Source organism: Homo sapiens, chromosome 21 (assembly GCF_000001405.40).
Source record: "Homo sapiens chromosome 21, GRCh38.p14 Primary Assembly".
Lineage (NCBI taxonomy): Eukaryota > Metazoa > Chordata > Mammalia > Primates > Hominidae > Homo > Homo sapiens.
Window position 1 is genome coordinate 46,352,981 of NC_000021.9, and position 22,510 is coordinate 46,375,490.

Here is a 22,510-nt window from a genome sequence, read left to right on the forward strand (position 1 = left end):
GGTTCTGGGATGGGCCCTTTTCCGAGTTCTGCCCCCACCACAGGTAACCAGGCTCTTGCCTCTCGCCTGGCTTGTTGTGGGTGTCCCATTTTAAGACGATTGCCTGACTCCGTTATGTTGCAGAGCTACATGAGCAACTCCTGGCGCGCACCTCTCGTGTGGAAGATTTAGAACAGCTGAAGCAGCGAGAAAAAACCCAGCATGAGTCCGAACTGGAGCAACTGAGGATTTATTTTGAAAAGAAGTTAAGGGATGCTGAGAAAACTTACCAAGAAGACCTAACCCTGTTACAGCAGAGGCTGCAGGGGGCGAGGGAAGATGCTCTTCTGGACTCTGTGGAAGTTGGGTAAGCAAAGCAGTTCCAGCCTCAGTGAGTTTCTGCCATACAGGGGCCAGGCTCTGAGTTCAGGGGTAGTTTTGTTGGTGATTTCATGCTAGTAGGCACCAATGGCCTTTTATACAAACACATTTTATGGTCCAGATTTAAAAGATGACACAGGCACGGGCACCCGAGAGTGGCCTGCATGTGTGTGTGCGAGCCATTGGTGGCCACACTCTGTCCAGGCCTGCGTGCACATGTTGGTGGTGGACACGCTCGTGTAGGCCAGCATGTGTGTGTGTGTGCATGAGTCAGTGGGCACGCTCTTGTCCAGGCCTGCGTGTGTGTGTGTTGGTGGCAGGGGCGCTCTCCTCCAGGCATGTGTGTGTGTTGGTGGCAGGGGCACTCTCCTCCAGGTGTGTGTGTGTGTGTGTGTGTGTGTGTGTGTGTGTGAGAGAGACAGAGAGAGAGTCAGTGGCGGGCACACTTTCTTCCAGACCTGCATGTCCCTGTGCCGTGTCTCTGGCTTTGTGACTGCCACGGCTCCCCGCACATGGACATTGCCCGTCCTTGACTGGAAGCACGAGGAGGCGCCTCTGCTGTGAGCAGTCGGTCCTGGGGAGGGAATGGCGCACACATGGAAAAGGGGTACGTGTGTAAAGCTTTTATAAAATGTTTTCCCTTCAGGTTGTCCTGTGTGGGTTTAGAAGAGAAACCTGAGAAAGGAAGAAAAGATCACGTTGATGAACTCGAGCCTGAGCGACATAAGGTAATTGGCCGCGCGCTGAGAAGTGGGGGAGTCCTGTGCTCTTGACCTTCCAGCCCTGCGTCTTCCACATTATAGAGCCTGTGTTTCCGTCCTTCCCACCTTGTCCAGGGGAGGAAGGCTGCTTGCGGATGCTGCCCCGACCTCACTGCTGCTCCGCGGTGGGCCTCACCATGCACTGTTTGATCAGGAAAGGGGGTGGCCGGGGGAGCCGGAGCCCCTCCCTCAGCCCTGGGATGCCCTGGCTGTGGGCAAGGCCTCCACCCTGCAGTGGGCTGCATTCGTCAGACTTGACAGTGGCAGTTCAAAGGGTGTGAAATTGTGTCTTTGCTTTGAGTCCACACGGAGCGTCTGCTGGCTTTTGTGTTTCTTCCTTGAGTTGCTTCCGTGCTGCGACTTCTGTCACCTTTAACTTCTGTGGGGCAAACTGTCCAAACGGAGCTTCTGGGATGTAGACTGTTCTGGGTCTGTGCTGCCAGTGTGGTGCCCAGCAGTATGTGTGGCTGTGGAGCACTTGATGTGCAGCATGAGCAAGCCCGGTGTCGGGCTCCGGGGGACACACGGGAGGGCAGGGAGGAGACGCAGGGGCAGCACCGCGTGGCTTGTTGCACGGTGGAACCAGTGGAGGGGAACTCGGGGCATCTGGGCTCAGCGGCCAGGAGCCCTCACTCTGGAGCAGGGTCCCTGGGCCTGCTGGAGGCCACAGGGTGTCCAGGCAGGGTGGCAGCGGGCTGTGTGCCAGTTTGAGTTCCCTGCAAAGCGGACCCCAACACAGAATTTGCTGCACAAGAGGCTATGGGGGAAATGCCAGAGAAGGGCAAGGGCCCGGCTGGAACAGGCAGCCAGGACCTTCCCACGAGCAGGCCTTGCACCAGAGAGAACCCAGGAAGGGCTGGGGTGGGTAGCCCCACCAGGCATTCGTGTATCACCTGAGAGCCAACCCCTGCCTCTGCGCGTGGGTGTGACGAGGACCCAGCTGTTAGTGGGCAGTGGTCACAGGAGGCTGGCCTTGAGAGCCCAGCCCTGAGATGTGAGGCCACCAGGGGAGACGCGAGGGGCACGTGCCCTACCGACCTTGCTGCTGAGAGAATTGAGGAGAGGTCTGCCCGGTCCAGGGCCCTGCCGCCCTGAGGAGCACCAGTCCCTGTCAGTGCCACCAATTCTTGTATGTCTTCCGGAGGCCTGACTGAGAGACGGGTGTGGGCGGGAGAGCATGTGAGCACGCCAGTGGGCTGGCGGGGTTCACCAGGGCGCAGCGTGTGGTCTCATGAACCTAGTGAGGTTTGAGTTTTCTTTGTGCATAGCAGGAAACACCTTTGAGGGTTATAGCTGCGAGCGAGGTAGCTTGGCTCACTAACGTGCTTGTCCCACGTGGTTTCTCTGTAGGAGAGCCTGCCACGCTTCCAGGCGGAGTTAGAAGAAAGCCACAGGCACCAGCTGGAAGCGCTGGAGTCTCCCCTCTGCATCCAGCACGAGGGGCATGTCTCAGACAGATGCTGCGTAGAGACTTCAGCATTGGGACACGAGTGGCGTCTGGAACCCTCTGAAGGGCACAGCCAAGGTGGGCCCCTCCCGCCTCGCCATGGTGTCGGCAGGTCCCGGGTCTGGGGGACGTTCTCGGGGAGCCTGGGTGCCTGGGTTCGATCCAAGTCCTCCGTGAAGCAGCTGAGTGCTCCGACCTCTTCTTCTGGGGCTGACACCTCAACAGAGTGTGTCCTGATGAGGGTTTGGCGTTAGAGGCGGGGTCACTGGCTGGGCAGGAGTGCGTGTCCTGGGCCAGCGCCCCAGCAGGGCAGGTCTGACCTGGGCAGCCACCCTGGGGGTCATGGGGATTGCTGGATGGACATGGTGACCATTCACCTCTGGAGGGAGAATGTGTGTCCACTGGGCCCAGGGGAGGCTTTTCCAGGATCCTGCTCTGCTCCCAGCAGGCCCAGGTACCCCAGCTCGCCTAGTCAGACTAAGGTTGTGGGATGTCCAGGCAGGGCACGGGGCACAGGGCTGTGGGGTCAGAAGGTGACGGAGAGGAAACTGCAGTCATCCCAGAGTCGCGGTCCCATGGCGCCGGACAGTGGCCACTGACGGGTTCCAGGAGGGGCAGGCGGCCCTGGCCACTGGCGTGGACTGTGCTGATGGTGGGGCTGCCGTCCATGGTGGGGGTGAGGGGCTGAGGCCGCGGGTCCTGCTGGGAGGTGTGTGGTCTGACTCCATTCTGGGCTGTGGCCAAGTTGAGAGAAGCCTGGGCCTGCCTGGGCCTCCTTCAAGCTGGGGGTGGTGCAGCGGCGCCTGCATCTGGTCCTCACTCCTGCCTGCCCTGCACCACAATTGTCCCCACAGCCACCCCTTGATGCCCATGGTCGTTGGCACCACTGGTGCCTGGCCAGCACCTAGTCCCTTCTGCTTTTTTCCTCTTCTGCAGAAGAAGAGATGGGCCAGTGGGGGTAGCGTGCCTGGGCACAGAACAGCAGGGGGAGGTGCTGGGACAGGAACCCTGGCAGGCCCCTGAGCTCAGGCCCTGTCCTTGTGGCTGCCTCATAGACCCTGGGTGACACATGTGTGCCCACATCTGGTCACAGGCATGAGGCTCACTCAGGAACTCATGGAGGGTCACATGTCACACCTGACCTGAAGGAGTAGCCTGGGCGGGTCGTGTGGCTGTCGTGTGGGCCCAGGACATCCCTGTGACTCGGGACGGCACTGTGCTGGGGCAGCATGGAGGTGTCCCGAAAGGGAGGGGAGACTTGAGAGAGCCATGCCTGCTTTCATCACTGAGTCAGCACAGAGCTTGAAAATCCACAGTGTCTGCTGTCAGAAGCATTTATAGGTTGCCGTTCTGCCTGTGCGGACTGTGGGCTCCATCGAGGGCCGGCACCGGCCTGACTGTCTTCCCTGCTCCTTTTCCACACAGAGCTTCCCTGGGTGCATCTCCAGGGTGTGCAGGACGGGGACTTGGAGGCCGACACAGAGCGGGCAGCCAGAGTCTTGGGTCTGGAAACTGAGCACAAGGTGCAACTTTCGCTTCTTCAGACTGAGCTCAAAGAAGAAATTGAACTCCTAAAAATAGAAAATAGAAATTTGTATGGGAAGTTGCAGCATGAAACTCGTCTGAAGGACGATTTGGAGAAGGTGAGTCGTGACTCCACAGCCCAGCGCCTCCCGCCCGAGTCCTTGCTCTCTTCCACCTGGAAGGCTTGTGTCCTTGTGTATGGAGGGGCATCCTGGGGACAGCCCAGTGCTGTACATGGCACATTTGTAAGGGCGACAGTCCCGTAAATTCTTGAAACTATTCCTGGCAATGCCAGTAGTGGGTGGCGGTTGGATAGAATCTTGTCAGGGTCAGCACCGGGGCGAAAGTGAAGTTCTGAGTGAAGATTTCTTTTTGTTTTGTTTTGTTTTGAGACAGTCTCATTCTGTTGCCCAGGCTGGAGTGCAGTGGCATGGTCTCAGCTCACTGCAACCTCTGCTTCCTGATTTCAAGTGGTCCCCTGATAGCTGGGATTACAAACGTATGCCACCATGCCTGGCTAATTTTTGTATTTTTTTTGTAGAGACAGGGTTTCACCTTGTTGGCCAGGCAGGTGTCAAACGCCTGACCTCAAGTGATCTGCCTGCCTTGGCCTCCTACAGTGCTGGGATTACAGGTGTGAGCCACCACGCCCGGCCCTCTGAGTCAAGATTTCTTAGGGAAACTGTCCAGGTGTCCTAAGAGGGCTCTGGGAGGAGGCACAAGCCCGGGTGCCAAGCACGTGGCTGGCCTCTGATGCTCACCCCAAGTCTTAAATTGCGTCCGCGTTCCCCAGGCTCTTCCTGTGCTGTTTTGCACCTGTGGAAGAGGCACCCTCTGACTCCCTCGCCCTTTGCGAGTGTGAGGACACTGCCATGCTGTCATAAATGATGACAAAGCAACACGACAGCAGCCTCCACATGGCCCGATGGGCTTGGTTACAGCCAGGGCAGCTCAGGGTCCATCCCATGCTGGAGCAGTGGATTTCAAGTGAGCCGACAGGGCAGCTCAGGGTCCGTCCCATGCCGGAGCAGTGGAGTTAAAGTGAACCAACAGGGCAGCTCAGGCTCCGTCCCATGCGGGAGCAGTGGAGTTCAAGTGAACCGACGGGGCAGCTCAGGGTCCATCCCGTGCCAGAGCAGTGGAGTTAAAGTGACTGAAATTGTCATGTCTTGTCATGTGTGTTCTGACTCAACCTCATGCTTGTGACAGTGTTTTCATTTCTATTTGTGTCCTGCTTCTCCCACCCCTTTGCTCCTCCCTGTGAATGTCTCCCTGAGAATGATTTTCATTCTCCATCAAGAGACAGCTTCATAGGAAGCTATGATGACCTGCAAGTCTGATCCCATGCTGTTTGTTAAATGCAGGTGTTGGTAAGGACTTCCAGCAAAATAGAGGTAAGGGTGGAGCCCTGTGGGGAGCCGGACAGGCGGTAGGTGGGCCGATGGTCATGTGCCAATGGCACCTGCAGCCACCAGTGTGTGGCCTTCTCTGGCACTGTTGGCTGAAGACAGACTTCCCAAGTGACTTTTTGTTGTTGTTGTTGTTTTGTTGTTTTGTTTTTTTTTTTTTTGAGACTGAGTCTTGCTCTGTCGCCCAGGCTGGAGCGTAGTGGCGCGATCTCAGCTCACTGCAACCTTCACCTCCTGGCTTCAAGTGATTCTCTTGCCTCAGCCTCCCTAGTAGCTGGAATTACAGGTGCACACCACCATGCCTGGCTAATTTTTTTTATTTTTTTTTATTTTTTTTGAGATGGAGTCTCGCTCTGTCACCCAGGCTGGAGCGCGGTGGCGCAATCTCAGCTCACTGCAAGCTCTGCCTCCTGGGTTCATGCCATTCTCCTGCCTCAGCCTCCCGAGTAGCTGGGAAGACAGGTGCCCGTCACCATGCCTGGCTAATTTTTTTTTTTTTTGTATCTTTAGTAGAGACGAGGTTTCACCGTGTTAGCCAGGATGGTCTCGATCTCCTGACCTCGTGATCCACCCGCCTCAGCCTCCCAAAGTGTTGGGATTACAGGTGTGAGCCACCGCACCCAACCATGCCCAGCTAATTTTTGTATTTTTAGTAGAGACAGGGTTTCACCATGTTGGCCAGGCTGGTCTCAAACTCCTGATCTCAAGTGATCTGCCCGCCTTGGCCTCCCAAAGTGTTGGGACTACAGGCGTGAGCCACCGAACCTGGCTCCAGGTGACTTTTTGATGCTCATGTCTTTATGCTTTTCACAGGCCACCATTTTACCTCCTTATATCAATTATGGGGAGAGGACTGTGGATTTCTCTCTTGTTAATTTTAATTCTTGTTTTGAGTATGTGGAAGCTCTGTTGTTACACGTGTACACATTTGTGATTGTAATGTCTTCCTAAAAATTCACCCTTTTCTGTCTTGTAGTATTCTGTCCAAAAATACACCTGTTTTTTTTTTGTTTTTTTTTTTTTTTTGAGACAGTGTCTCACTCTATCGCCAGGGTGGAGTGTAGAGGCGTGATCTTGGCTCACTGTACCCTCCGCCTCCTGGTTTCAAGCGATTCTGCTGCCTCAGCCTCCCGAGTAGCTGGGACTACAGGCACGTGCCACCACACCCGGCTAATTTTTGTATTTTTAATAGAGACGGGGTTTCATTATGTTGGCCGGGCTGGTCTCGAACTCCTGACCTCATGATCTGCCTGCCTCAGCCTCCCAAATTTTTGGGTTTACAGGCGTGAGCCACCGTACCCAGCCTCGTCTTTTATCAATACAGTCATTCCAACCTTCGTGTGCATTTTGTCTGGTGTATCTTTTTTTATTCGTTTTACCTTTTTTTTTTTCTTTTTTTTTGAGACAGGCTATTGCCCAGGCTGGAGTGCAGTGGCACAGTCTTGGCTCACTGCAACCTCTTCCTCCCAGGCTCAAGGGATCCTCCTACCTCAGCCTCCCAAGTAACTGGGAGTACAGGTGCACACTACCGTGCTGAGCTAATTTTTGTATTTTTTGTAGAGATGAGGTTTCGCCATGTTGTCCAGGCTGGTCTCAAGCTCTTGGGCTCAAGTGATCCACCCGCCTCGGCCTCCCAAAGTGCTGGGATTACAGATGTGAGCCACTGCACCTGGCCTACTTTTAATCTATTCAAAGTAAAGTGCATTTTATGTGGACAGCATATAGTTGGCAATTTTTTTTTTTTTTTTTTTTTTTTTTAAAGACGGAATCTCACTCTGTTGCCCAGGCTGGAGTGCAGTGGCACGATCTCGGCTCACTGCAACCTCTGCCTCCCGGGTTCATGCCATTCTCCTGGCTCAGCCTCTCCGAGTAGCTGGGACTACAGGCGCCCGCCACCACGCCTGGCTAGTTTTTTTTTTACATTTTTAGTAGAGATGAGGTTTCACCGTGTTAGGATGTTCTCGATCTCCTGACCTCGTGATCCGCCTGCCTCGGACTCCCAAAGTGCTGGGATTACAGGTGTGAGCCACTGCGCCGGCTTTTTTTTTTTTTTCTGAGACGGAATATTGCTCTGTCGCCCAGGCTGGAGTGCAGTGGTGCGATATCCGCCCACTGCAAGCTCCGCCTCCCAGGTTCACGCCATTCTCCTGCCTCAGCCTCCCGAGTAGCTGGGACTACAGGCGTCCGCCACCACACCCAGCTAATTTTTTATATTTTTAGTAGAGACGGGGTTTCACCATGTTAGCCAGGATGGTCTCAATCTCCTGACTTCCCGATCCGCCCACCTCGGCCTCCCAAAGTGCTGGGATTACAGGCGTGAGCCACCACGCCTGGCCATAGTTGGCAATTTTTAATCCATTCTGATAATCTCTGCCTTTCAGTTGCAGTGCTGAGTCTATAAATGTTTAAGGTAATTACTGGTGTGGTTGATTTAGGTCTTCCGTTTCACTGTTCATTTTCTGTGAGATGCGTCTGGTGGTCATGGTTCTGCTTTTTCTTTTTTCTTGTGTTTTTGGATTATTTGAATATTTTCTAGAACTGATTTTAATGTATCTGTTGACTATTAAGTTATTCCTCTTTGCATTATGTTTTTAATAGTTGCTCCAGGGATTAAAATACACATTCTTGGCCCGGCACGGTGGCTCAGGCCAGTAATCCCAGCACTTTGGGAGGCGGGTGGATCACCCAAGGTCAGGAGTTTGAGACCAGCCTGGCCAACATGGGGAAACCCTGTCTTTACTAAAAAATAAAATAAAAAAATTAGGCGAGTATGGTGGTGCATGCCTATAATCCCAGCTACTCGGGGGCCTGAGGCAGGAGAATCGCTTGAAACCAGGAAGCAGAGGTTGCAGTGAGCCACAATCACGCCACTGCATTCCAGCCTGAGCGGCAGAGCGAGACTCCGTCTCAAAGAAAAGAGAAAAAAAAGAATACACATTCTTAACCTTGTCTTTTATCAGTACAGTCTACTAAGAGTCACCATGATGCTGCGTTGTGTAAACTGTGACCTCTAACTGCACAGGTGCTTTTGTCACCTCCCCTTCGTCTTCTGTGCTGCAGTTTTCATAGACTAGACATCACATCCGCCTCCTGCAGTGTCAGGAGATTTGCTTTGGAAAACATGTGTTTGAAAGAAATTAAGAGGAAAAATGGCCTTATACTTGCCATTTCTGGTGCTCTTCATTTCTTCTTGAAGATCTGAGTGTTTGGCGTCATTCCCTTCAGCGTGAAGGATCTCCTTCAGCATCTCTTGCTGTGCTGCACACATTTTCTCCGTTTTTTGAAGTCTTTATTTTACCTTGATTCTTGAGGAGTATTTTTGTGGCATTAAAAAGTCTAAGGTGACAGGTTTCTTGTTCAGGATTTAAAGATGTTTAAAATCCTTCTCTGCAGATTTTATGATCTGTTTTGTCTTGGTGTTGGTTTCCATTGATTGTGTTTTCTCTTCAGCAGGGGTCACGTTTTCCTGCTTATTTATGGGTCAGCTGGGTTCAGGTTGCATCCTGGACACTGTGAGTGATAGATTTGGAGACTTTGGGTTCTGTCCTGCTCCTCTGGAGAGTGTTGGTTTTCTGTTGCAGCAGGCAGTTCACTCGGGTGACTTCAGACTGCATGCTCCCCTGCGTCTGTGCTGGGCTGCGGCATGGTGTTAATTCAGTTCTTGTAGCTTTAGCCGGCTTGCTTGCTTTTGGAGTCTGCCCCTCGTATGTACAGATCGGGGTCAGCCTGAGACGTGGGCGGGTTCCTTCCCAGGCGTTGCAGCTCTCTTTCCTCCCTCACTCTCCAGTTCCTCTGGCTCAGTGAGGGATTTGGGATTTCTGTGTGTGGGGCATGGACAGATACTACTCTTAGTGAAAAGCTGGAAAAAGAGAATGGCTCAGTGCTGTTTCTTCCTTCTGAATGTCCAGCCCTCTGCAGGGTCTGTCTGCTTGTGGATCTCTCCACAGCCTTCAGGTTTTTTTGTACGTTCTGTTCAGTTCATAGTGGTTGTCTCTGGAGGGCTGGTCTGGCGAGGTGCACAGGCATCACCAGAAGTAGCACCCTAAACTTTAATAACTTAATTTTTAAATAAGGAGTTGAGGTCAATCTTACGTGCCTTTTTTTGGGTTTTTTGTTTGTTTCTTTTTGATGAGTTCAGTAGTTTATTGACCTACTTTTTTCTCTTTGAAAGTCAGGAAGTCAGGCATGGTGGCTCACACCTGTAACAATCCCAGCACTTTGGGAGGCTGAGGCTGGCGGATTGCTTGAGCTCAGGAGTTCAAGATCAGCCTGGGCAACATGCAGAACCCTGTCTCTATAAAGGATTGCTTGAGCCCAGGAGTTCGAGGCTGCAGTGAGCTGTGATTGTGCCCCTGCACTCCAGCCTGGGCGACAGACCCTGTCTCAAAAAAAAAAAAAAGATTAGGATATTTGCCCTCTGCATTCTCCTTCATCCCCCTCTGCACAGGATCCCTTTACAGTGTGCCTTGCAGTTCATCCACCCCTTGCTCAAGGTCTTTCATTGTCCTGGCGTTGACCTTGTACAGATCGGGAGCATCGCACCATTGGCTGCTCTTGCCTCCTGGGCATCCGATCATGCTTGCTGCAGTGGCCCAGCGCTATCTGTGGGGCTGGCGTTCCCCTAACAGAGGCCTGCGGCCGATCTGAGTCCTGCCACTGGTCTTGGTCTGAACAAAGAAGCCTCCGGCTGCTGCCTTTGCTCGGCTGATGTGTGCTGCCTTCGGTTGTTGGTTGCTGTCAAGGCCACGGGCTCCAGAGATAAAGAACAGTCGGTTCTCGGTGCCAGGACGTAGGAGGCATTTTATTTAGTTTTAGACTTGTCCACTTTAGGTTTCTTCCATTGTCATCAACATGAGAATCATTCCTGTTGCTGTGTGCAGCGTAATGGGTGTGTGTGTGGTGAAAATTCCCTGTCTTCAGAGGTGGGTTTGGGTTGTCTCTTCTAATAATCTCTTCCATTAGCGTCTTTCCTCCTAAATGAAATTATGTTGTCTGTAGGTAAAACACAATCTAATTGAAGACCACCAGAAGGAACTAAATAATGCTAAGCAAAAGACTGAGCTGATGAAACAGGAATTCCAAAGAAAAGAAACGGACTGGAAAGTTATGAAGGAGGAGCTACAGCGGGAAGCTGAGGAGAAGTTAACATTGATGCTACTTGAACTGAGAGAAAAGGCTGAATCCGAGAAACAGACCATCATAAACAAGTTTGAGCTTCGAGAAGCTGAAATGAGGCAGCTTCAGGACCAACAGGCAGCCCAGATCCTGGATCTGGAGAGGTCCTTGACGGAGCAGCAGGGCCGCCTGCAGCAGCTGGAACAGGACCTCACTTCAGACGACGCCCTGCATTGCAGCCAGTGTGGGCGGGAGCCGCCCACAGCCCAGGACGGGGAGCTTGCTGCGCTCCACGTGAAGGAAGACTGCGCCCTGCAGCTGATGCTGGCCCGGAGCAGGTGGGTTTGCAGTGACGCCATCTGCAGTCCCTGTGAGGCCAGACACCTTGGAGGGTAGAAGGTGGGCAGGCTCCTGGGAGGAGGCGCTGTGGGCTCCACTGGGCGAAAAGGTCTGGAGGGAGCTGGAACAAGGTGTGGCGCTCTAGGTTTTCAGCCTAATTGCAGTGGGACAGCTTTGTGCTCGGACGGGCAGGCTGGCAGTTGCCATCCTGAAGCCCCCTGGCCGCAGTGGGACAGCTTTGTGCTCGGACAGGCAGGCTAGCAGTCGCCGTCCCGGAGCCCCCTGGCCGCAGTGGGACAGCTTTGTGCTCGGACGGGCAGGCTGGCAGTTGCTGTCCCGAAGCCCCCAGGCTGCAATGGGGACAGCTTTGTGCTTGGATGGGCAGGCTGGCAGCCGCCACCCCGAAGCCCCCCGGCCACAGTGGGACAGCTTTGTGTTTGGACGGGCAGGCTGGCAGCTGCCGCCCCAAAGCCCCCCAAGTCTGCACTCCCTGGGTGGGTGTCAGGGGCGGGGATCAGTCATTGTCTCTGTTGTTCTTCGTGTGTTTTAAGATTTGAACAGCAGAAGCTAAACCTCTTTTATAGGTGTCATAAGGACATGGAGTTTATCCACTAAGCGTTTTTGTGTTTTTTTTAACTTAAACAGGTGATTTTTAAAAATAAGCATGTTTTTCTGAAACATACACACTCTTCTTTGAAGTTTTCAAGAGGTTTAGAAAGTGATTGGGTTCTTTGCCTGTTGGTGCTGACCCTTTTTGCGAGCCTCAGTCCCAGGGCTGTGCCGTTCTTTCTCATCTGTCTGCCCCACCCAGCCCTTCCCCAGCAACCAGGGCCGCACAGGGCCCCGCTCAGGGATTGGAGAAACTCACGTTCAGGTCGCTGGGGCTGCATGAACACGAGCAGGACGCTCTTCTCACCAGGCTACGACATGCAGTTCGTGGTAGAGCTGAACCAAGGAGGCCCTCAAGAGAGGCTTCCAGGCGCAGAGGTGCCTGTGCCTCTTGCCATCCGTCCTGTGTCGCCAGTGCCCATTGGAGGCCTTGGCATTTTGCAGGACCCTCCAGCTCCAGGCTCTTTGGCCTCCTGATGGGAGCAGGTCCTTCTGTGAGGACTCTCCCTGCCTCTGTCTTTGGCCCTGAGTGCCGCCTGCACCTCCTTAATTCACTGCCACGGGGTTCTATTCACTTCCATGGGGTTCTATTCATTCACTGCCATGGGGGTTCTATTCATTCACTGCCATGGGGTTCTCCTCACTGCCGTGGGGTTCTATTCACTGCTGTGGGGTTCTGTTCACTGCCGTGGGGTTCTATTCATTCACTCCCATGGAGTTCTGTTCACTCCCATAGGGTTCTATTCACTGCCATGGGGTTCTATTCACTGCCATGGGGTTCTATTCACTGCCATGGGGTTCTATTCACTGCCGTGGGGTTCTGATCACTGCCGTGGGGTTCTGTTCACTGCCGTGGGGTTCTGATCACTGCCGTGGGGTTCTATTCACTGCCGTGGGGTTCTGTTCACTGCCGTGGGGTTCTGTTCACTGCCGTGGGGTTCTGATCACTGCCGTGGGGTTCTGATCACTGCCATGGGGTTCTATTCACTGCCGTGGGGTTCTGATCACTGCCGTGGGGTTCTGTTCACTCCCATGGGGTTCTGATCACTGCCATGGCCTTCTATTCACTGCCGTGGGGTTCTGATCACTGCCATGGGGTTCTATTCACTGCCATGGGGGTTCTATTCATTCACTGCCATGGGGTTCTCCTCACTGCTGTGGGGTTCTGTTCACTGCTGTGGGGTTCTATTCACTGCCGTGGGGTTCTATTCATTCACTCCCATGGAGTTCTGTTCACTCCCATAGGGTTCTATTCACTGCCATGGGGTTCTATTCACTGCCGTGGGGTTCCGTTCACTGCCACAGGGTTCTGTTCACTGCCGTGGGGTTCTATTCACTCACTGTCGTGGGGTTCTGTTCACTGCCATGGGGTTCTATTCATTCACTGCTGTGGGGTTCTATTCACTGCTGTGGGGTTCTGTTCACTGCCATGGGGTTCTAGTCACTGCCGTGGGGTTCTGTTCACTGCCGTGGGGTTCTATTCATTCACTGCCTTGGGGTTCTATTCACTCACTGCCTTGGGGTTCTATTCACTGCCATGAGGTTCTATTCATTCACTGCCATGGGGTTCAATTCACTGCCATGGGGTTCTCAGGCCTCGCCCTCCCCATGGGCCCCCATGGGCAGTGCCCCTTCCCTGTTGAGGAGCAGAGATTACCTTGGGATTCTTGGTTGGATGCTGGCTCGGACGCTGTGGTGTGAGTAGGAGGTTGGTTGTGCCTGCCGTGCGTGGCTCTGGCGGGGATGTGTGTGTGCCATCTCTTGCTGAGGGCGCTGGTTCCTACCTGTGGTCTGTGACCTGGCGACTCCCATGGCTTTGGCCTTTGGCCTCTGGGCTTCTCTGGCTTCATGGGGCCTCTTCACTCTCCCACTTACTATTTCTGGTGGTCGAGGGAAAAGTAGTAAGAGCAGTTAAAATCCCGAAACGATGACCTGAACAGTTGAAGTGGCATTTCCTGTGGGAAACTGACTTGGCTTTTGCAAGGGTCATTGCTTCCTGATGCATGTTTAACTGTCCTGTGTTCACTTTGTTGCCGCAGGTTTTTAGAGGAACGTAAAGAGATCACCGAGAAATTCAGTGCGGAACAAGATGCCTTCCTGCAGGAGGCCCAGGAGCAGCATGCCCGTGAGCTGCAGCTCCTCCAGGAGAGACACCAGCAGCAGCTCCTGTCAGTGACGGCGGAGCTCGAGGCCAGACACCAGGCCGCGTTGGGCGAGCTGACAGCCTCCTTAGAGAGCAAGCAGGGGGCTCTGCTGGCTGCACGTGTGGCCGAACTGCAGACAAAACACGCTGCCGACCTCGGCGCTCTGGAGACCAGACATCTGTCCAGCCTTGATTCTTTGGAATCCTGTTACCTCTCTGAATTTCAGACCATCCGTGAGGAGCACAGGCAGGCCCTAGAGCTCTTACGAGCAGACTTTGAGGAACAACTGTGGAAAAAGGACTCTCTTCACCAAACGATTTTGACTCAAGAGTTGGAGAAACTGAAGCGGAAACACGAAGGGGAGCTACAGTCTGTGCGGGACCACCTGCGAACCGAAGTGAGCACAGAGCTCGCCGGAACCGTGGCTCACGAGCTGCAGGGAGTGCACCAGGTAAGGCGCCAGGGCCCTGCCCCAGCCCAGGGCAGGCCTCTCCTCGCTGCCTGTGTGTTTCCACCGCGTGTCACATGTCTGCGTGCGTGCTGTGTGTGCCTGTGCGGGTGTCTGTGTGTCTCACAGGCTGCCGAGATCAGTGGGGACTTCTGGTCTCTTTGTGAACTGGGCTTTTTTTTTTTTTTTTGAGCCGGAGTCTCACTCTTTCGCCAGGCTGGAGTGCAGTGGCGCAATCTTGGCTCACTGCAACCTCCGCCTCCTGGGTTCAAGTGATTCTTCTGCCTCAGCCTCCCAAGTAGCTGGGATTATAGGCGCCTGCCACCATGCGCGGCTAATTTTTGTATTTTTAGTAGAGACTGGGCTTCACCATGTTGGCCAGGCTGGTCTCGAACTCCTGACTTCAGGCGATCCACCCGCCTTGACTCCCAAAGTGCTGGGATTACAGGTATGAGCCACCGCACCCGGCCTGAGCTGGGCTTTAAAACACTGAGTTGAAGGGTTATTTTGATCGCAGGCACCTTGTTAAAGGCTTTGCTCTCGTACGTATGTGGGAGGGCCTAGACCTTGGTGGGGGATTTTGTGGGCTTTGGAGTATTCCTCAAGGCTGACCAGCACCTCTGCAGAAGACTTGGTTTCCAGGCTGCTGTGGGAAGATCTGATGGTCATGTTGTGTATTCAGAGCCTTGGTCCCCTCCTTTTATTGATGTTTCCTGAAATAAAACCCTTTTGCTACATTTCAAGAGCAGTGATGGGCCAGGCACAATGGCTCACGTCTGTAATCACAGCAGTTTAGGAGGCTGAGGCAGTTGGATTACTTGAGCCCAGGAGTTTGAAACCAGCCTGTGGGCTACGAAAATTAAAAACAATTCACCGGGCGTGGGGGCACGCACCTGTAGTCTCAGCTACTTTGGAGGCTGAAGCAGGAGGATTGCTTGAGCCCAGGAAGTCGAGGCTGCAGGGTGAGCTAAGACTGTGCCACTGCACTCCAGCCTGGGCTGTAACAGAGTGAGACCCTGTCTCAAAAAAAAAACAAAAATAGCTCACACCTGTAATCCCAGCACTTTGGGAGGCCAAGGCGGGCAGATCACAAGGTCAGGTGATCGAGACCATCCTGGCTAACACGGTGAAACCCCGTCTCTACTAAAAATCCAAAAAAAAATTAGCTGGGGGTGGTGGCGGACGCCTGTAGTCCCAGCTACTTGGGAGGCTGAGGCAGGAGAATGATGTGAACCCGGGAGGCGGAGCTTGCAGTGATCCGAGATCGCACCAGTGCACTCCAGCCTGGGAGACAGAGCAAGACTCTGTCTCAAAAAAAAAAAAGCGGTGATGGTTCATTTGACAGGCACTTCCAAGTTTTTATCATGAAGAAGAATTTCTGGCGAAGTCCCTCTTGCCCTGGGCTGGCGCCTGACTGCAGAAGCTGCAGTGCCTGTGACTCAGGAAAGGACACGTGTTGTCGTATCACACACACCTTGTGCTTTCTCTGCCCTCAGTGAGGTCTCTGAGGTTTTCTCACCTTGAAATAGATGAGTCTGCTCTGTTGAGCATGTGGAGCCACTGGGGCTGGCCTATCTCCCTGCAGGAAGGGGATGCATAGGCCTGGCTGCACGGTGGATGGGGCATGGGCTAGAGCTGATGAGGCAGTTAGAAATGGTTGTTCTGGCAGATCAATACCTTGTCAGACGTTTAAGAAGTACACGTTCCAAACTATAAACGAGGGAATTGCCAGCTTGGATAAGGTGGATACGTTGATTTCCTGATACCAGCATGCCACGGGAGGGCTTCCTCCTTCCTGACTGTGGGGAACAGTTGTGAGGCTCCAAAGCGTTGGCTTATTGTTTGCTTTCCTTCAGCTCTGTGTAAGAACAGGAGAAAAGTGGAACCTTCTTTAATCGCTGTGAGGGTTTCATGTTATGTTTCAGGCTGTCTGTTTTGTGTGGTCTGAGCATGTGATCTTGGGGGAATTCCTAGAAAGCAGAATATGTTCAGGCTCCCTCTGCTCTCCTGAGTAAGGTGCAGTCAGTTGCCTGTCTCAGGCCTCTGTGTCCTGTCCTTGTCTTCACCACATGTCAGGGAGTCCTGGGGATGTGTTTTGTTTGTTTCTTTTTTGTTTTTTAAAAGACAGGGTCTCCCTGTGTTGCCCAGGCTAGTCTCGAACTCTTGGGCTCAAGAGATCCTCTTGCCTTGGCCTCCCAGGTAGTTGGAATTACAGGCATGAGCCACTGCTCCCAGCTTGGGAGGTGCCTCTTGAGAGAAGCTGGAGCCATGTTGTCTTTCTGGACAAAATTAGACAGGGGTCTGATGCTGCTGGGAGCTGCCCTCCAGGCCAGTCCTCAGATGCCAGCTTCAGTTTCCTTTCGTTCCCAGTTTTGATCATAGGCAAACAGATGCTTTGGAGAATAGCACTTGTTCCCAAGCTGTGGATTTAAAATTAGGTTTTCTTGGTTTGTTTGGTTTAAAGAAAATGAAGTTCTGAAAGAATATTCAGAAAGGAGGAACTTGCATATCACACATGAAGTGTGTGTTTCAAACCACGGCCTGATTTAGTCAGAGGAAGCATGTGGAGCGTGTGCACCTTCTGTGCCCTGTGTGGGGATGTGGCACATCTGGATGTTTCCTGGACGGAAGGAGCTGGTCGCAGCCCTGTGCAATCAGAGACGCCTGCTGGAGGCAGAGAGGACCAAAGCCCTGGACAGGGTGGGTGCCAAGGTCCTGCTCCTGGAGCATCAGCACCAAGCGGCCCTGCAGGAACTCAGAGATGTACGCTGCCAAGATGCAGGAGCATCAAGCAGGGCAGGCGGAGCTGGAGGAGCCGGGGGAGCCGGAGGTTCTGGGGGTGCTGGGGGAGCTACAGGTGCTGCGGGAGGGGCTGTGCAGGTGAGCAGCTCCACGTGTGTGGTTCCCACAGGGGTGCCTCCCCGGCTTCTCTGCCCTGAGTCTTCATCAGAGCGTTCAGGCACTTACGGATACACTTGGAGCCGCTGGATTGTGCGTGCAGTGGGGTCTGTGCTCAAAGAGTGCAGCTTCGTGGGGGCAGATGTGTCAGTGCACCTGGCCAGCGAGGCAGCTGCAGGGGTGGGCATCCGGGGGGGGGTGTCTTTGGTTGGCCTCCCCTCCTGTTGGGGCCTCCGGAGGGCAGGGTTCTGGTCTGGTCTGCAGGCAGTGAGTGGTCTGTGGCGCGACCAGATCTGTCCTACAGGCTACTTGGCAGCTGGACGAAACACAAAGTGGAGGCGATTCAGAGCCTGGGAGGTGCGGGGGTCGGGGAGGCTGGGGCTCATCCTGGGTGTCGCGCTAGGCAGCTGGGGGGATAGTGAGGGGTGCCTGCCAGCTGATGATGGCATAGGGAGGGGCATGGAGAGCCTGGGGGCTGACAGGGGAAGCCACGCTTAGCTGGAGGGGTCATCCCAGGTTGGACTGGTGCAGGGGATGTGGCTTGTGTAGACACAGAAGCACATTTAGTTGCTCTTATAAATCTGCACACGGGCTGGGCTTGGGGCTCATGCCTGTAATCCCAGGGCTTCGGGAGGCCACAGTGGGATGATCTCTTGAGCTCAGGAGTTCGAGACCAGCCTGGGGAACATAGCAAGAGTCCACTTCTAAAAATAAAAATCGGCCGGGCGCGGTGGCTCACGCCTGTAATCCCAGCACTTTGGGAGGCTAAGGCGGGCAGATCATGAGGTCAGGAGATCAAGACCGTCCTGGCTAACACGGTGGAACCCCGTTTCTACTAAAAATACAAAAAATTAGACAGGCATGGTGGTGGGCGCCTGTAGTCCCAGCTATTCTGGAGGTTGAAGCAGGAGAGTGGTGTGAACCCGGGAGGCGGAGGTTGTGGTGAGCTGAGATCGCGCCATTGCCCTCCAGCCTGGGCGACAGAGCGAGACTCCGTCTCAAAAAATATATATATGAAAATAAAAATAATAAATAAAAATTAACCAGGCATGGTGGTGCAGGCCTGTAGTTCCAGCTACTTGGGAGGCTGAGGAGAGAAAATTGCTTGAACCTGGGAATCTGAGGCTGCAGGAAAAAAAGAAAGAAATCTGCACACAGTATGGTTTATTTTCTTTCTTTCTTTTTTTTTTTTTTTTTTTAAAGACGGAGTCTCAAAAAAAGTCTAGAGTGCAGTGTCACGATCCTGGCTCACTGCAACCTCTGCCTCCCAGGCTCAAGCAGTCCTCCCACCTCAGCCTCCCAAGTAGCTGGGATACAGGCACGGGCCACCACGCCTCGCTAATTTTTATTGTTTTGTCTCCCAGGCTGGTCTTGAACTCATGGGCTCAAGTGATCCTCCCGCCTTGGCCTCCCCAAAGCACTGGGATTACAGGTGTGAGCCTCTGCACCTGGCCAGTGTAGTTACTTACTTTTTCAGTTTTTTAAAATCTTGTGTGTCAGAATATGCGTAAGCACTGGTACCAAATTGTGTCAGAAGAAGCCAGACTGAGTAGTCGGAATCCCCCTTGGATTCCCAAGGTGGCCGTGAAGGGGCCTGGCTGAGGTCCCCTGCCACCTGCTGTGGTCTTGATTCTCTGCACCTATGCAGGACTGCATTTAAGCAGCAAGGTCTCCCCACTTGTGGACCCGTGCACCTGCCCCATCCAGGCGCCACCACCCCGCCTGCTGGTCTGCATGATGAGCACACGCACACACAGCACATGTGCACACACAGCACATGCACACACACATGCAGACACAGCACATACAGCACATGTGCACACAGCATGTGTGCACACACACAGCACATGCACACACAGCACATACACAGCACATGTGCGCACACAGCACATGCGCATGCTCACACAGCATGTGCGCACAAACAGCACATACATAGCACATACACACATGCAGCACATGCACACACACACAGCACATGCACACACACAGCACATACATGCAGCACTCACAGCATATGTGCCCATACAAGGCACATGCACACAGCACATGCGCACACATAGCACATGTGCATACACAGCACATGCACACATGCAGCACACTCACAGCACATGTGCCCATACAAGGCACACGCACACACACAGCACATGCACACACAGCACACACACAGAGAGCACATGCACACAGCACATGTGCACACACAGCACATGCACATACACAGCACATGTGCACGTGTAGCACATGCATGCACACAGCACATACACATAGCAGATGTGCACACAGCACGCACACACAACACGTGCACACACATGCACACGTGCTTACACAGCACATGTTCATACAGCACATGCTCATACACGCAGCACATGCACACATACACAGCACATGCACACATGTCATTCTGCATGTTGTCCTGCAGGATGAATGCCTGGGGCCCTCCTGCTTCTGTGTTCTGGGTCTGTACGATTTTCTGGCCTTTCTGTGGGGGGAGGGTTAGAGTCTGGAGCACTTCAGAAATAATTGATAATTTATTTGAAGCATTATGTGCAAATTTTAGGTGATTATGGTACATATGGTTTCAAGGGGGTTTTAAACAAGGACATGCTAAGATCTCATTTCTAGCCATAAAGTAAGGTTTTGAACCTGAAAGGTTTGCTTGGTGAAGAGGGACTGCTCCTGAGAATGGGTGATGCAGCGCCGGATTCTGAGGTTAGAAATGACTTGTTTCTTCACGTGGACAGCTCTGGGTGCTGCCCAGTGTGGACACTGGCCCCTCAGTCCTGAGGCACAGCCCTGAGACCTGCACCCTGCTGGGTATCGTGTGGGTCTGTCTTCTCTGGAAAAGTCAGATTCTGTCTCGCTTTTCCAGGGACTCATGCTAAAGAAATTCTGTCCGTTTTATCTGTGCATAGCACAAGGAGGTGTTCGTTTTCTGAAATCGTGTGTCACCTGTGTCCTTTAACCTGTACTTTTGTTCTTCTAGGGTGACTGTTGTTGTTGTTGTTTTGGAGGGAGGATCTTGCTCTGTCGCCCAGGCCGAAGGTAGTGATGCAACCACAGCTCACTGTGACCTTGAACGCCTGGCCTCAAGTGGTCCTCCTGCCTCAGCCTCTTGAGTAGCTGGGACTACAGATGTGCACCACCATGCCTGGCTAATTTATTTTTTGTAGAGATGGGGTCTCACTGTGTTGCCCAGGCTGGTCTTAAATTCCTGGCCTCAAGCAATCCTTTTGTCTCAGCCTCCCAAAGTGCTGGGACCATAGGCGTGAGCCGCGCCTGGCCTGGACTATTATCGGAATACTCCTAGAGCGTCTTTGCAGTATTTTTGTAGTTGAGGTACAGGTTTGCGCGAGTAAGTTAGCTTTTTACTTTGCTGCTAGGGATGTGCATGTCAATACTCTTTTTTTTTTTTTTTTTTTGAGACAGAGTCTCGCTCTGTCTCCAGGCTGGAGTGCAGTGGCGTGATCTTGGCTCACTGCAACCTCTGCCTCCCTGGTTCAAGGGATTCTCCTGCCTCAGCCTCCCAAGTAGCTGGGACTACAGGCATGCGCCACCATGCCTAATATTTGTATTTTTAGTAGAGATGGGGTTTCACCATGTTGCCCAGGGTGGTCTGATCTCTTGACCTCGTGATCCGTCCGCCTCACCCTCCCTAAGTGCTGGGATTACAGATGTGAGCCACCGCGCCCAGCCTTAGCTTTTTTTTTTTTTTTTTTTTGGGCGGAGTCTCGCTCTGTCGCCAGGCTGGAGTGCAGTGGCATGATCTTGGCTCACTGCAACCTCCGCCCCCCGGGTTCAAGCGATTTTCCTGCCTCAGCCTCCTGAGTAGCTGGGATTACAGGCACATACCACCACGCCTGGCTAATTTTTATATTTTCAGTAGAAACAGCGTTTCACCATGTTGGCCAGGCTGGTCTCGAACTCCTGACCTTGTGATCTGTCCGTCTTGGCCTCCCAAAGTGCTGGGATTACAGGCGTGAGCCACTGCGCCCGGCCGCTCAGATACTCTTTTATGTGATTGTTTTGGTGTAGCTGATTTCACAGAAGAAAACAATTGGGCTGTGGGGAGGTGGGATGTACTCTTTATTTTATATTATGTTTTTTGGGGCAGAGGGCAGCATTTGCAGGAATAGAATAACTCAGCAAGCCCCCGGTCCCGCTGGTTAGTGGGGTGCACGTTCAATACATCAGTCCCCCTCTCCTCCTGATTGTTTAGAAGCAAATCCAAGACACCATGTGTCTGCGAGTGAGGTGTTTTCCCCCAATACAGCATAACCATGATCCATTCTCACCTAAAACATCCACAGCGATCCCTGCATTTCATCACAAGCCCAGCCCACGTGCCAGTCTCTTCTGGCTGGCTCACATCAGGATCTATTTGTTCCTGTGATGCTGGTCACTGTTCCCTCGTTCCTGCAAGCGTGTTGGTAGATCCACAGGCCTGTGATTGGTGAGAATGCTTCTTGTATGGTGGCCACTCCTCTCCTGGTCTCCTGGTCTTTCCTCAGGCTTTACACCGTGAAAAGACATAACACAAGCTGGCTGCAGTGGCTCACGCCTGTAATCCCAGCACTTTGGGAGGCCGAGGCGGGTGCATCACCTGAGGTTGGGAGTTCGAGACCAGCCTGACCAACACAGAGAAACCCTGTCTTTACTAAAAATACAAAACTAGCCAGCCATGGTGGCACATACCTGTAATCCCAGCTACTCGGGAGGCTGAGGCAAGAGAATCGCTTGAACCTGGGAGGTGGAGGTTGTGGTGAGCCAAGATCGTGCCGTTGCACTCCAGCCTGGGCAACAAGAGCAAAACTTCGTCTCAAAAAAAAAAAAAAAAAAAAAAGTTACACAGAGCCCTGCCAAGCCCTGACGGGAGTGTTTTGGGTCATTGTCCCAGAATAGCTGGGATGTCCTGTTCTTCCCCGCGGCGATGCTTTATCTGAGCCTCAAATATCTTTGCACCTGTTGGAACAGCAGTCACTTGTCAGCAGTGTGACTTGACCTACACTTGTGGGGTGATTGGATTACTTTCCGGGATACCGCCCTTGAGAGTTTGGTTGTGAGGAAAGTCCTCTGAAAACGTAAGCTTGATTTCTTTTTGATAGAAGTATGTATCCCATAAGATTCCCCTGCCCTGCCCTGCCCCGCCTGTGCTGGTAACACGACGCAGAGCTGAGTGCAGAAGTGAATCGCATGCGGCCGGTGTGGGATGCTCAAGGCGGTGTCATCTTTTCTCGGATTGAAAACCCAAATCTATTCATAGGTTAATTATTTTAATATTAAGATAATATTAACGTTGGTTTAGATAGCATTTGAATGTCCTAAATGCGTTCTCAATTGAATGTCTTTGCCTTCTGACATTGGTATTCTCTGTGCATGCCACTTACTTATGATTAAAACATATGTGATATTTTTCTATAATTGTGTGGATTTTAGAAAAACCTGAAAATAACTTTTTTTGA

The 22,510-nt window shown here is 52.9% G+C and overlaps 1 protein-coding gene across 2 annotated transcripts in view, besides 4 other annotated features; it reads left to right on the plus strand.

Moving 5' to 3' along the window:
• Positions 1–22,510, plus strand: part of PCNT (pericentrin) — a 121,614-nt gene that overhangs the window by 28,825 nt on the left and 70,279 nt on the right. For both annotated transcript variants that reach the window (NM_006031.6, NM_001315529.2), the window contains exons 10-15: positions 124–346; positions 1,007–1,088; positions 2,472–2,646; positions 3,994–4,211; positions 10,500–10,954; positions 13,604–14,159. In NM_006031.6, coding sequence (NP_006022.3) covers positions 124–346; positions 1,007–1,088; positions 2,472–2,646; positions 3,994–4,211; positions 10,500–10,954; positions 13,604–14,159 — 1,709 coding nt within the window. The remainder of the gene's footprint in view (positions 1–123; positions 347–1,006; positions 1,089–2,471; positions 2,647–3,993; positions 4,212–10,499; positions 10,955–13,603; positions 14,160–22,510) is intronic.
• Positions 3,843–3,922: an enhancer, noted in NCBI's record as "active region_18601". NCBI's record gives its function as "activates an Ori minimal core promoter by ATAC-STARR-seq in GM12878 lymphoblastoid cells {active_cell/tissue: GM12878}" and the evidence as "EXISTENCE:reporter gene assay evidence [ECO:0000049][PMID:35858748]".
• Positions 10,415–10,915: an enhancer, noted in NCBI's record as "H3K27ac-H3K4me1 hESC enhancer chr21:47783310-47783810 (GRCh37/hg19 assembly coordinates)". NCBI's record gives its function as "activates a minimal SCP1, AML or CMV promoter by ChIP-STARR-seq in primed H9 embryonic stem cells {active_cell/tissue: H9 hESC(primed)}" and the evidence as "EXISTENCE:reporter gene assay evidence [ECO:0000049][PMID:30033119]".
• Positions 15,407–15,536: an enhancer, noted in NCBI's record as "active region_18602". NCBI's record gives its function as "activates an Ori minimal core promoter by ATAC-STARR-seq in GM12878 lymphoblastoid cells {active_cell/tissue: GM12878}" and the evidence as "EXISTENCE:reporter gene assay evidence [ECO:0000049][PMID:35858748]".
• Positions 15,997–16,076: an enhancer, noted in NCBI's record as "active region_18603". NCBI's record gives its function as "activates an Ori minimal core promoter by ATAC-STARR-seq in GM12878 lymphoblastoid cells {active_cell/tissue: GM12878}" and the evidence as "EXISTENCE:reporter gene assay evidence [ECO:0000049][PMID:35858748]".